This window comes from Homo sapiens, chromosome 2, assembly GCF_000001405.40.
Source record: "Homo sapiens chromosome 2, GRCh38.p14 Primary Assembly".
In the NCBI taxonomy this organism is placed as follows: domain Eukaryota; kingdom Metazoa; phylum Chordata; class Mammalia; order Primates; family Hominidae; genus Homo; species Homo sapiens.
Genome location: NC_000002.12, coordinates 181,529,286 through 181,542,470, shown reverse-complemented (window position 1 = coordinate 181,542,470; position 13,185 = coordinate 181,529,286). Strand labels below are relative to the sequence as shown.

At 36.0% G+C, this 13,185-nt stretch overlaps 2 protein-coding genes across 8 annotated transcripts in view; one reads left to right on the top strand and one right to left on the bottom strand.

Moving 5' to 3' along the window:
• CERKL (CERK like autophagy regulator) overlaps positions 1–5,799 on the top strand; it is a 120,434-nt gene extending 114,635 nt beyond the window's left edge. For all 7 annotated transcript variants that reach the window (NR_027689.2, NR_027690.2, NM_001030312.3 and 4 more), the window contains 2 exons: positions 3,207–3,379; positions 4,227–5,799. Coding sequence is in view for 5 of the 7 variants with exons in the window: in NM_001030312.3 (NP_001025483.1) it covers positions 3,207–3,379; positions 4,227–4,287 (234 nt within the window). In the remaining 2 variants the exon portion in view is untranslated. The remainder of the gene's footprint in view (positions 1–3,206; positions 3,380–4,226) is intronic.
• ITGA4 (integrin subunit alpha 4) overlaps positions 3,531–13,185 on the bottom strand; it is an 81,736-nt gene continuing 72,081 nt past the window's right edge. The window contains exons 23-28 of the mRNA NM_000885.6: positions 12,823–12,930; positions 11,822–11,947; positions 10,695–10,814; positions 8,101–8,199; positions 7,536–7,655; positions 3,531–7,039 (exon numbers count right to left, since the gene is read on the bottom strand). Of these exons, the coding sequence (NP_000876.3) occupies positions 6,944–7,039; positions 7,536–7,655; positions 8,101–8,199; positions 10,695–10,814; positions 11,822–11,947; positions 12,823–12,930 (669 nt within the window). The 3' untranslated portion in view covers positions 3,531–6,943. The remainder of the gene's footprint in view (positions 7,040–7,535; positions 7,656–8,100; positions 8,200–10,694; positions 10,815–11,821; positions 11,948–12,822; positions 12,931–13,185) is intronic.

The window sequence follows — 13,185 nt, the reverse complement described above, 5'->3', positions numbered from 1 at the left end:
ATAAATTTTGTAAGATTATGAAAATCAGATCTATGTAAAAATCATGTCTACTGCATAATTCATAGCAGTGCTGGTATTCAGGAAGGAAAATGTGGCAATTCAGTTTAAGGAGAGTAACATCTGCTTCTCTGAACCATTTTTACCAGGTTGAATAAGCGAATGTTACTGTATAACACTGTAAAATAGATTGAAACCACCATGTGCGGAGTGGCTCCTGTTCCTTCCCCATCTCTGTGTAAAATTAGATAGAGGCTGAACACTACCCTTCAAAGTCCTTGCAGCTCCATCCTATTGCTTTGCCCCCCTTCTCACTGTCCACACTTTTCTCTTTCATTGTGACCATTTTTGGTAGGGAGTTTAAAACCTTAAATGTGAGTGCTTCCCCCAGGATTTCTTTGCAGCCCTCTCATCTTCTCAGGATGCCGTCTCCTGGATGGCCTCATTGCCCCTCACTTTTGAACTGTCTGAACATCATGCACTCCCAAGGGTTCTGTCATCTCGTCTTATCTGCAGGACCTCTGTCTTCTTGTATGCTGAAGAGGTTCTGAAATTCACCGGCATCTGGAGGCCAACATGTCTACAGCCGACCTTATCTTTTCCCCTAAAGTTGTTCCTTCTGCGTTGCTCTGTGCGGGTCAATGGCACCACTTTCTACCCATCCAGGTTACCCTGAACTGTTCCTTCTTCCTCATTCCTCACTACCAGTCCCCTAACTTGTTCTGTTGGTCTCCTCTTAAATGTTTCTAAAATTTCTCCCTCACCTTAATTCAAACTTTAATCCTTTCTTGCTTACAGTAGCCTCCTTTTGGCCTTCAGGTTCTCTGGTCTTGTCTTCCATACCTCTTTTTAGAGAAACTTTTTTCTAAGACACACATTGGATTTCTCTCCTGCTTAATTCTTCAGTGCCTTTCTCTTGTTGTCAGAATAATATGGAATATCCTCAGTCTGGAACACGTGGCCTTTGTATCCAGGTCCCTGCCTGTGTTGCAACCCCACCTCTTATTACCACCCTCCACCACATTCCCAGTGTTTTGGCATTTTATTCATTGGCTAAGGTTGCCATAACAAATACCACAGAAAAGATGGCTTAAACAAACAGAAATGTATTTCTTTCATGGTTCTGGAGGCTAGAGCTGCAAGACAATGTCAGCAGGTTTGGTTTGTCCTGAGTCTTCTCTCTCTGGCTGGCACATGGCTGCTTTCTCACAGCACCCACAAGTGAGTGGTCTTTCCTCTGTTCATCCCCGATGCCTTTTCCTATGTCCAAATTTCCTCTTCTTATAAGGACACCAGTCGTATTGGATGAGGGCCTAAAGACATCATTTTAGCTTAATCGTCTCTTTAAAGATCTTATCTCCAAATATAGTTATGTTCTGAGGTATACAGAGCGAGGATTTCAATACAGGAATTTGAGGGCCAAGGGGCATGATGTTGAGCACCTAGGAGTCACACTGAATTCTGTGTAGTTGCTTGACCATGGTTTGCCTCTAGTTTTGTAAATGCTTCCTCTCTCCAGACTTTCTTCTCCAGGCTAAATCTTATATGTTCTTTAAGGCTCAATTCAAATGGGAAGCTTTCCCAACATCCATAGCCTGTTTGCCTCCTCTTGTTTCCTCTGTTGAACTCCACACTTGCACCATCATGGCACTCCCCTGTATCAAAATTGTAACTGTTTACTTCTCCTCCCCGTGCCCCAAACATACCCTCACACAGGATACTAAGCTCTTGGCTCCCGAAAGTCCCACTTAACAGCGTCTGTGGCTTCACAGTTAAAGCATTTGAAGGATGGCTAGATCTTCATTTTGTGAGGAGTGCACATGACAACTGCTGATTTAAGATAATAGACTTACTGGTGGTGGCTGTCAATTCTTGACATTCCTTGGCTTACAGCTGCATCCCTCCAGTCTCTGACTCTGCCATCCTTGGCATTCTTCTCTCATAAGGACATCAGTCATATTGGATTAGGTCCCGCCCTAATGACTTCATCTTAAGTTGATTCTACCTGCAAAGACCCTATTTCTAAACAGGGGACATTCACAGGTACCAGGGGTTAGGACTTGAACATAGTTGGGGTGGTGGAGGGAAATATAATTTAGATCATAACAGGCAGTTGTGTGTTTTAAATGAATTATCAACTAACATGAATGATTATGTAGATAATTCTACAAGGATGAGGCATGTAGCCAAGGCTTTATACCCGAGGTAGGAGGTCTAACGCAGTTACTGTCAAACAGTTTTGCTTGGGGCCCTCTAATTCTGTACCTCAGTCACAACAGCTGATGCCATCATATCATCTACTGTTTAACTGTGTTTACAGTATAAACTGGAAAGTTGGCTGGACCTTGGTATCTACATATGTAAAATATGGGTGTTGGGGAAAATATTAGTTTTCTGTCAACTTTTAAAACTGTTTCATTGAGGTTTACATGTGGAAAAGGGGAAAAACTATGTAGATGATGTTTAATTAGGAATGTATCTCATGTCATTTTTCTGAAAACTGAAATGAGTAGTTATACATTTCTGCTCAAGTTATTTGGCTATATTTTCTTAATTATGTCAGAAAATACATAGTGCTTTTTCAGTATAGTTTCCTTAGGCAAACAAGAAAAAACGCAAGTTGAAGTTTACCTTGCACCATTCTATAGTGGTAAGTAAACAGTGATCTTGCAGCTTGTGTCCATTGTTAAAGTGGGAATGGGGCAGGCAAACACCTTTTAAAATCCATATTTGATTGGCTTTCTCTTTTAAAAGAAGACATACATCCCATTTTATCTTCAGAAGTTTAGACTTGCGTTCTTCCAAATTAAATTCCAAGTGTGAAACTTGTACTAGTTTGCTTTATGTCAGCTAAACTAATTGACAAGTTGATAATGGATTATATGTCTTCTGTATCTACAGGCCAGTATTAAAGATTATCTTTAATTGAAAAATCTACAGTATCACTATTTTATGTAACTTCTCACAGATATGTACTATTTGTCATAAAACAAGATTTCTAGGTGCTAGATCTAAAAGAACCCAAAAGGCTTTGGATAAGAGATTCCTTCTTCCAAAAAAAGTTGGAGATCCCTGTTCATAGTCTCAAAGCTATTAAAATGTCAGCATACATGCTGATATTTACTTGTGAGAGAGGGCTCAGTGAACTTTGATTCGCGTTAGTAGCTAGAGATAAACCAAGTATAATGATTATTTGTATTTATTTTTAGTTCAATTTTCCATTTGTTGAGACTTACACTGTTGAGGAAGTAAAAGTTCATCCAAGGAATAATACTGGTGGATATAATCCAGAGGAGGAGGAGGATGAAACTGCTTCAGAAAATTGTTTCCCTTGGAATGTAGATGGTGACTTAATGGAAGTTGCATCAGAGGTCCATATTAGGTAAGTCTATTTATTTCACCGCTTATTGTCAACCAGTAAACATAAATCTAATATTACAACGAAAGCTCTCTTCTCTGAACTATCAAAGCAGGCAGTTGGTTAGTTTTTAAAAAATCAGTAAATCAGGGAAGCATAAAGAGACATGCACAAATTTCAATAAATAAAAAGCAACTTTACATTTATTCAACTGTTATGTAGACCCAAGGCATTTTCTTTGGTTATGCGTGTCTACATTGGCTTTCTAATTTATTGTTGTGCATAAACTACAGATAATGTCTACAACTTCCATTTTGGATTTTTAAAAATGGATCAAGATCTTAAATCTTTTAGTGGAGCCATCTGAATAGTAAAGTGTTAGATTTTTATCCTTCCATCTTAGTTTCCTCTCACTCATAATTACTGTAACATGTTTTGTTCAGTAATTTGCTTTTATTAGGCCTTTACAGAGCATTCAACTTCCCTTGGGAACAATTTTACATAGCAACTGGTATAAACAGGTTTAGGAACCTGCAAACGCATTCTTGGTAGGCATTGTGACACTCAGTGGTTAGAAGAAGCATGCAGGGGTGCCCACTAGACATGGGTGTTCTAGAGGCATAACTGACTGTTTTACAGAGGTAATGGAGAGCATTGGACAATCAAGGAAGTCAGTTAAGGAGGTTTTAGAGCAATTATTGTTGTTGATGATTTATCAATCAGACCTTCTCAGTTTTCTAGATTACAGCTCTGTTGGGAATGCTGTGTTTGTTATCAATTTGTATTTGGCATTGGCATTGTGTACCATACTTATTAGGTGTATGTGAAAAACAACAAAATAAGTTGATGAAATAATGTATTTTCTTTACAGATTGCATCCAAGACTTATCAGTCTTTATGGAGGAAGCATGGAAGAAATGATTCCAAAGTAACATGTAATTGTTTCTAAAAGAAATGTACAAACTAGAATTTTAATATAAAGAAATGTGGCCATGCTTTAAACCTGTGGTCCCCACCCTTTTTGGGACCAGTTTCATGGAAGACAATTTTTCCGTGGATGGGGGAATGGTTTCAGGATGAACTGTTCCACCTCAGATCATCAGGCATTAGATTCTCTTGAGGAACATGGCACTCTAGATCCCTCACATACCAGTTCACCATATGGTTCGCACTTCTATGAGAATCTAATGCTGCTGCTGATCTGACAGGGGGAGGAACTCAGTAATGCTCCATTGCTCTAACCTCCTGCTGTGTGGCCAAACGGATATCCTAATAGAAATTGATGTTACTAACAATTAGCCTCTAGGGCTTTAAAAGTCAAGATGAAATATCAATTCAAATTCTGTTTTTAGATATCAATTCAAATTCTTTTTTTTACAATGTGTTTATTGGACACACAAAAAAACTTTGCAACCATCATAATACATCAATATTTAACCTAGATAATTCTGAAATAATTTGGATTCTTTCATTTTTCAGGATTTGAGCTCATCAATTATGTTAAATTTCCTATATTCTGTTACAAATATAATACAGATTTCATAAGTCTGCCTTGATTCACTGCTCCCTAATCCAGAGCAGTTAAATTTCAAAATCACATAGTTATATAGCCTACCTGCCAAAAAAGAATAACCCATCCCTGTCTTCTTAAAGTGGTAGGGTTTTAAAATTCATGATACAAGTAACAAAGTAAGTTGATAACAAATACTATTTTGAACTGGGCAAAATCTAGCCCAATATGTAATTGTGTTCCCCTTGTATCTGAGAGGCCTGTGTTGGACAACCATAGTACTCTGCTTTCACTGTGCTCAGATAACCTGAAATATATAGTTGTTTCTGAGTAGTTCTGAGTAGGAAAGAACCAAATGTAAATTTCCTTAGAGACCATCCTGGAGAAGACAGTTCTAAATCGGGGCTTGATTTTTCATCTATGATCCTAGATGTTCTCCTGAAAGAATGACTAGCCTTTTTATAACGATACAAAGTTTTTTAAAAATACATAAATGTCATAAAGTTTATTCCTGTGTATACACACTCTGGGTTCAGGAGGTTTTGTGCTTACATTTCACTACTCAAATGCCTTCGCAAATCTCAGAACATTCCTCACCATCACTGCAGGCCTGTGAACAGATAACTTTCATCAATTAGGATGGCTGGCTAGTGGCAGGGACTTCATATAAAGAAATCTTTCCCAGAATTGTTTTTCCACATTGCCTTCTAATTTGATCACTCCCTATAACAGATGTTCAAAATTCGGCCACAGCTCTCTTATGAAGGCAGAGTCAGATAAAATGATATTCTGCAATTATCTAGATCATAAGCATAAAATAAATATTACAAAAATGATTGTATTTAAAGAAATTTTTTAAAATCCAGAAAGTCATTTAAAATAGAACCTCATATAGTATGAACAAACTATAAAAATATTTTACATTTCATGAAAATTTTGCTGTCGTCTCATTTATATTCACTGTATACAAATTGAATCAGTATCTTTCAGCTAAATTTATGAATTTAAATTTATGAATTTTGTTTCTTCGTTTCCATGTAAGGTAACACTTATACTTGTAAAGGGTAACAAAGAATTACATCCAAGGAAATAGTTGTGTGATAGTCAATATTTTACATAGTACATAATACATATGAAGTATAGGCCCCCTAGTCTTTGCACAGCTTTGATTTTAAAGTTATTAGTGAGGTATGGTTTCTGTATTTTCTAAATCAGCGTGTATCAGGTAAAGTGCAACACTCACAATCTTTTGTTTCAGAATATAACAAAAGATTTGAAGATTACTCCTGGGTATGCTTGATAAAGGTGTGTTATAGGAAGAATAGATAGGAAGAATGGTAAATATATACCTACATAAAAACACATGTATATATACAGAAAGAAAGATGGTGAAATCCATAATTATAAAAAAATAATTATCCAGAAGTAATTTCACTAAGCTCAAACCAGTGTACATGTTCAGTCTGAAGTTTGCCAGTTTGGCCTATAATACTATAATATTCATAGTCTGCTGAAAAAAAATGGTTGTTGGAACACAGCCCGTAGGAAATGTATTATAAATAAAGGGCTTTAAAGTGATAATGGTCCACTCGTTAGAAAATTTGGGAACAGCTCTCTAAAAAATTATATTTTTAAAGAACATATTTTGAACAAGTATCAAAGATGTATTTGAAATGAACCTCTGCCCACCCAGTGGGGTTCATTTTACTGAGGCAAGCACATATGGTAAGTAGTATTTCAAGTCTAAGACTTCTCCAGTATAATTTAACTCAGTTATACTTTCATTTCAAGATATCTTCAAGGGCTTACTTTTCTTGAATAAATTGAATGCTTTAGTGTTTCTCTACCCATTTAAAAGCTGAGAGATTATCTTTGGCTGTATTATTACCTTTGCAGTTCTTCTATCTCAAAGAGTAATCATTGCTGAGATTTTCCCCTTGCATGAAGACATAATATGTCACAAGATCATGAGTAAAAGAAGTCCAAACAAAATTCATTTTTTCTTGTAAACAGTGTCTTTTAAATTTCTTTACTACAACCTGAGTCTGTTTTCCATTCTCTCAATTTGAAAGAAGTCCTTAATCATCATTGCTTTTACTGTTGATATAACTCCAACTGTCTCTTCTGTTTTCTTCTTGTAGGATAGATTTGTATTGTCTTTTAAAGAAGCCAGCCTGAAAATAGCATAACATAATCACTAGTGTATAGTTATGAACACTCTCTTATCTACTATACTCATTTCTAATATCTAAGCAGTTAACACCAATATTTCTTAAACTGCATCCCTTGTAACATCAGTCATAAAGGTTTAACAGAGGTAATCAGTAAAAATTAGTGGGGACATACTGGGTTAAAGAAACATTTTTGTTTTTAATGCAGAAATTCTCAGTGATACACACCACATTCTCTCCAAAATTGACATTCCGTGTAATTTGCAATCTTTTCCAAATGGTTTTTTAAAAGGAACGTCTGTCTTTCAAAACAAATTAAGAATGCATATTTTTCTAGAAAGACTTTGGTGTTGAAGAGAAATGTGAGATCAGTACTGAGCAACATAAAAAGTTAACATTCAAATAGTGAAATATTTAAATCTAATAACTTGGAAGTCAAATTGGCTTTGAGAAAATGTCATTTTTAGTAGACTAATGTTGGTAATTGTTAAATGCTTACCTTCCACATAACATATGAGATCAATAGAAGTACAATAAGTCCAAGTAGCAAGCTACTTGAAATAATCACTATGGTGAAATAACGTTTGGGTCTTTGATGATGTAGTCCTTCCAGTAGAACCTACGTGAGTTAAGAAAAATAAAACTCAAAAACCAAAAAAAAAAATCAGTTTAAAACGTTGCTTATATTTCCTTTAAAGCCCTGCCATAATCCCCAGTAGTATTTAGAACTGCCCAGCCCATTTTCTTGCTGGTTCTAATATAATTGCAGGAAACACTGGTAACTGTTTAGCAGAAACAGTGAGTGTAATGGGCTGTATCCATGACTTTTCCTCCAATCTATTCAATTCTCACTGCTGCCCAATTCACCTCTCTGAAAGAACTGCTGTATTGTTCCCTCCTGCCAGTTGTGGAAAATGCCAACTCTCAACCAAGTATTGGGGGCCCTCCATGAGCTGGTCACACTCTACTTTCCCAACTCAGTTACTCAGAAGGAAGTAATTATAGACACCCTTGAAATGTGTTTTCCTATAATTTTAATGTAGCAGTTAAGAGGGTAATCTTACATGCGCAACATTCTCATCCTTGTTTAGTTCAATTACTCTTGGATTTGGCTCTGGAAAACCTGTTGCTCTTATTTCAAACTTGAGTGCTGAAGTCTCATCCTGTTTAATAAAAGAAGGATCACCATAGCCTGGTTTATTTCATAAAGACATAATTTATCAGGATCTTTACCTTCTAGCTAGAGGTTTTCACAATTTACCTTCCCCAATTTATTTCACCACTTAAAATTAACTGCAGTGCCTCCTTTGGTTCCCAAAGTGTGGTCTTGGTATTAATTTATATAGTATCATTTTATTGAAATCCTTTGATTAAACAGCTACCTTGCAAATAACTTGATTTAAATATTAGACTACAGAAAGAGGTAAGTTACCATTTACCATTGTTCTCCACCCCACCACCGCATATTGAATCTATCTTATTTGGGCTTTTTATTTCTTTCTAAATTAAATACATTATAGAATTCAAATATAAAATCAGTGGATGAACTCAGAACTTTACTATCTAAAGCAAGGATTTTATAACGCAGAATCCATGAAGCTTGGGGATCTGTAGAAGGGCTTTATAAATTCTAAGAATCTTTAGGAGATGTTTTCATGTGTGCATTTGCTGAGGGAGATGAGAATATATTTAGTCAGATTCTTAAAGAGGGATATGACCTTTAAAACTATTGTGTAAATGTTATTTAACATTTTAGAGCCAAAAATGACAAGCTTCCTATAGATCTAGAGCAGTGGTTCTCAGCAGGGAGGGTTTTATCACCTAAGGGACAGTCAGGAATGTCTAAAGAAACTGTCAAGTGTCAGAACGTGGGAGGTGGTACTACCAGCAGTGAGCGTATAGAGGCTGAGGATGATACTAAATATCCTACAATGCACAGGACAACCCCCCAAAACAAAATTATCTGGTTCAAAATGCCAATTATGGCCACTGATGGAAAACCTAGACCTAGAGAAAAAGATAAGGCAAACTGCAAAAGGTTAAATGACTTGCTGATGGTTCAATGACTTTGCTTTTAGCACAGTTGAAACTAAAATGGATATTTCTTCTTTGCCTGTCTAGTGTATCTTCCTCTTAAGCACTGTTTGGCAATTTCAAGAATTCCACTTGAACATAACAGCTGCCATTTCCTTTGGCTTCCTATGTTCCATGAACTAAGTGCTTATAAAAATCATCTCATTTATCCATATTGAACAGATGAGAAAGCTGAAAAACAGAACTCCACATAAAACTAGTTTCATCTCAAACTACTCCTCATAAATATACATGCTCCTTTGTAGGAAAAAGTCCAAGATATATTTCATTATTTTTAAAATTTAAATATGTTTTTGTTGTTGAATTTTGATTTTATTTGATTTTATGAAAGCCTTAGTTTTTCTTCTTAGCTATATTTTTAAAATAAAAGGGCTTCAATAAAATTCATCATCCCTTCATGCTAAAAACTCTCAATAAACTAGGTGTTGATGGAACATATCTCAATAAGAGCTATTTATGACAAACCCATAGCCAATATCATACTGAATGGGCAAAAACTGGAAGCATTCCCTTTGAAAACCGTCACAAGACAAGGATGCCCTCTCTCACCACTCCTATTCAACACAGTATTGGAAGTTCTGGCCAGGGCAATCAGGCAAGAGAAAGCAACAAAGGGTATTCAAATAGGAAGAGAGGAAGTCAAATTGTTTGCAGGTGACATGATTGTATATTTAGAAAACTCCATGGTCTCAGCCCCAAAACTCCTTAAGCTTATAAGCAACTTCAGCAAAGTCTCAGGATACAAAAATCAATGTGCAAAAGTCACAAGCATTCGTATACAATAATAGACAAGCAGAGAGCCAAATCATGAGTGAATTCCCATTCACTACAAACAGAATAAAATACCTAGGAATCCAACTTACAAGGGATGTGAAGGACCTCTTCAAGGAGCACTACAAACCACTGCTCAAGGAAATAAGAGGACACAAACAAATGGAAAAAAATATTCTATGCTCATGGATAGGAAGAATCAATATCGTGAAAATGGCCATACTGCCCAAAGTAATTTACAGATTCAAGGCTACTCCCATCAAGCTACCATTGACTTTCTTCACAGAATTAGAAAAAACTACTTTAAATTTCCTATGGAACCATAAAAGAGCCCATATAGTCAAGACAATCCTAAGCAAAAAGAAAGCTGGAGGCATCAGGCTACCCGACTTCAAACTGTACTACAAGGCTAACCAAAACAGATACAGAGGCCAATGGAACAGAACAGAGACCTCAGAAATAACACCAGACATCTACCTAGGAATACAACTGGTCTCGAACTCCTGGCCTCAAGTGATCCTCCTGCCTTGGCCTCCCAAAGTGCTGGGATTACAGGCATGAGCCACTGTGCCTGGCCTATTTTAGCCTTTATTACCTGTTAATTTCTAAAGCCATTTCACTTAGTCAATGTAGATAGTTGAAGTGATAGAAATACAGTTTTAGAGTTTTACTCCAAAATTTTATTTAAAATTTAATTTGTTGAATGCCTTCATACTATCCTGCCTATATGACTGAATTTATAGATTTTATGTAAACTTAGCCACCAAGTTGTCAATGTTTTAGACTTACTTACCATTTCTAAAATGGATGGCCGGCCTTCCAGTTGGATATGAACACTGGCTTCTTTTCCACTTTCCATTTTCCCAAAATTACACAAGAAATTTAAACAATGTGGATCAGCTTTTATGCAGTACTTGAAGGGAATATAAAAGTGCTACATTAAAATTTTCAACATTGGAAAATATTTTTAAAATATTTTATATAGAATTTAATATATACTCTAATGGCATTTTGAAAATCATCTTTCCATAAATATGAAATTAAACATCTGCTTTCCTTAGTGGCATTTAAATTACCTTTAAACAAGACATGAATGTTTGTTTTCTAAATTATAATAAAGTATTTAAACTGCAGCATATGTTCTTATTATTTGTATTAACATAATCTTCTGGGACAGAATTTTTAAAAAATGTTCCTAATCAGAGTCTTGCTAAGTTACGTATTCTTTGTTTGTTGTAAAACGTGGATCATTTCAAGGTGATGAATGCTTCTCCAGTTTCTTTTCATACATTCACTAAGCTGAAAAGAATGAAAATTAACCCATGCCACAAAGGCTGCCCAGGTGAAGACAACCTCTTGGTGTCCTGAAGGGTCTGGAACAATGTCTTGTTGGCAAATAGTGGGCATTTGTTAGATAAAAAAATGAAACTGTATAACATTTTTTTTTTTCTTTTTGAGATGGAGTCTTGCTCTGTCACCCAGGCTGGAGTGCAGTGGCGTGATCTCGGCTCACTGCAACCTCCACCTCCCGGATTCAAGCAATTCTCCTGCCTCAGCCTCCTGAGTAGCTGGGATTACAGGCACCTGTCTAATTTTTGTATTTTTAGTAGAGACGGGGTTTCACTCTGTTGGCCAGGCTGGTCTCGAACTCCTGACCTTGTGATCTGCCCACCTCGGCCTCCCAAAGTGCTGGGATTACAGGCGTGAGCCATCACACCCGGCCAACATGTTTATATATGGGATAGACCCTGGGTCTATCTCAACTTTCCAACCATGCTTGTTCCTTCCACGCAAGAATACTACCTAAACTTGTCTTCTCTCTTATTATTGAAGTGACAGCTCAAACCCATTGACTTGATTTTAAGTGTCTCACTTCTCTGTTGGAAAGCAGGAACTACAACCTGAAAAACTGAAACTTACCAATAGCCTCTTATCAGTCTTGGACAAGAACCGGACTATGCCTTTCAAGGTCTGCATTGCACTCTTTTGCTGCTCTAATGCACACACTCTTTGATAATTTTCAAAGTGGCATTCTCCAGTAGTAGTCTATGAAGACAGAAAGCAAGAGAAATCTTATCTTTCAACACTGGAAAAAACAGCAAAAAGCAACCTGGTTTTAAAAGTTCCAGTAGCTTATCTTTGCTAAAATATATCAAGTACCTCTGAAATTGTAGAAATTTTTTTGACAGATTTGGGAGTGATTAAATGTCTGTGGCAGAAACACAAAAACCCAGCCAAATTACAGCAGGTTGGATATAGGTTCTAAGCTGATAAAATGGCCTTAACCTTGCAGAAATGTGAAAAATGATATTGGAACATTAGCATGACATTAAATATTTCTTTGCCTTTATAGGCGAAACAATATAACACCATATTCTTCTCTCTAAATCTGGAATTTAAATAGGATTTTTAAAAATCAGACCTCAAACCTATTTAGTAGATTTGTTGACTTTTGTCTTCAACCTGTTAAGCTCAAAACAATTCTGATGGAACCATCAGTGCAAGAATATCGGTTCTTAAGAAGTGGTTTGAATAGTGCTTCCTTAAAAAAAGGCTATAATCCTCATATTTGCACAGTAGTTTCAAGTTTTATGAAGAATTCTACTAATAGAAGTTACCTCTATAGGTCCATATCACACAACAATGTATCTTAAAATAATTATTCAATGGAGATGGTAGAATATAGTTCTGTTATTTAAATCAAATGTAAAAGTTGCACTGTAACTCTATAGTTCTAAAGAAATGTATAATATTCAAAGCATAACTCAATAAATGCATGGTGAATTCATAGCTTAGAGTGTGACTGAAGTAAGTTAACAATTATCCATTTTCACATCATTACTCGAATAAAGGATTGGTTTGCATTTATTTTAGTATTTAAGACACACAATAAAGGTTAGATGGAAGAAATACATTTTTACCTGGACATCCAAAATGTTGAACAGCTTATCAGTTTGGGGGCTAAAAGAATTTGGTACCATTATTTCCACACTAACATTGGGAGCCATACTATTGCCAGTGTTGATAACCTGATAAGAAGGAAAAATTTTTTAACAAATTAAATGTTTTCTATAAATGTAAGTACAGATATCAGTGAGCTTTTAGGTGATCCCGTATATTCCATGCAACATTTATAGTGGTGGAGGTTTATGGTTGGCAGCTGCATAACAAAGGGAGACAGGATATCCATAGTCAGAATTTTTAAAGTTTGCTAATAATTTCAAATGAGTCATTGTTTCTAACCTTCTAGTTTTGGTATTGTTGAAAACAAAAAGTACAGGCTG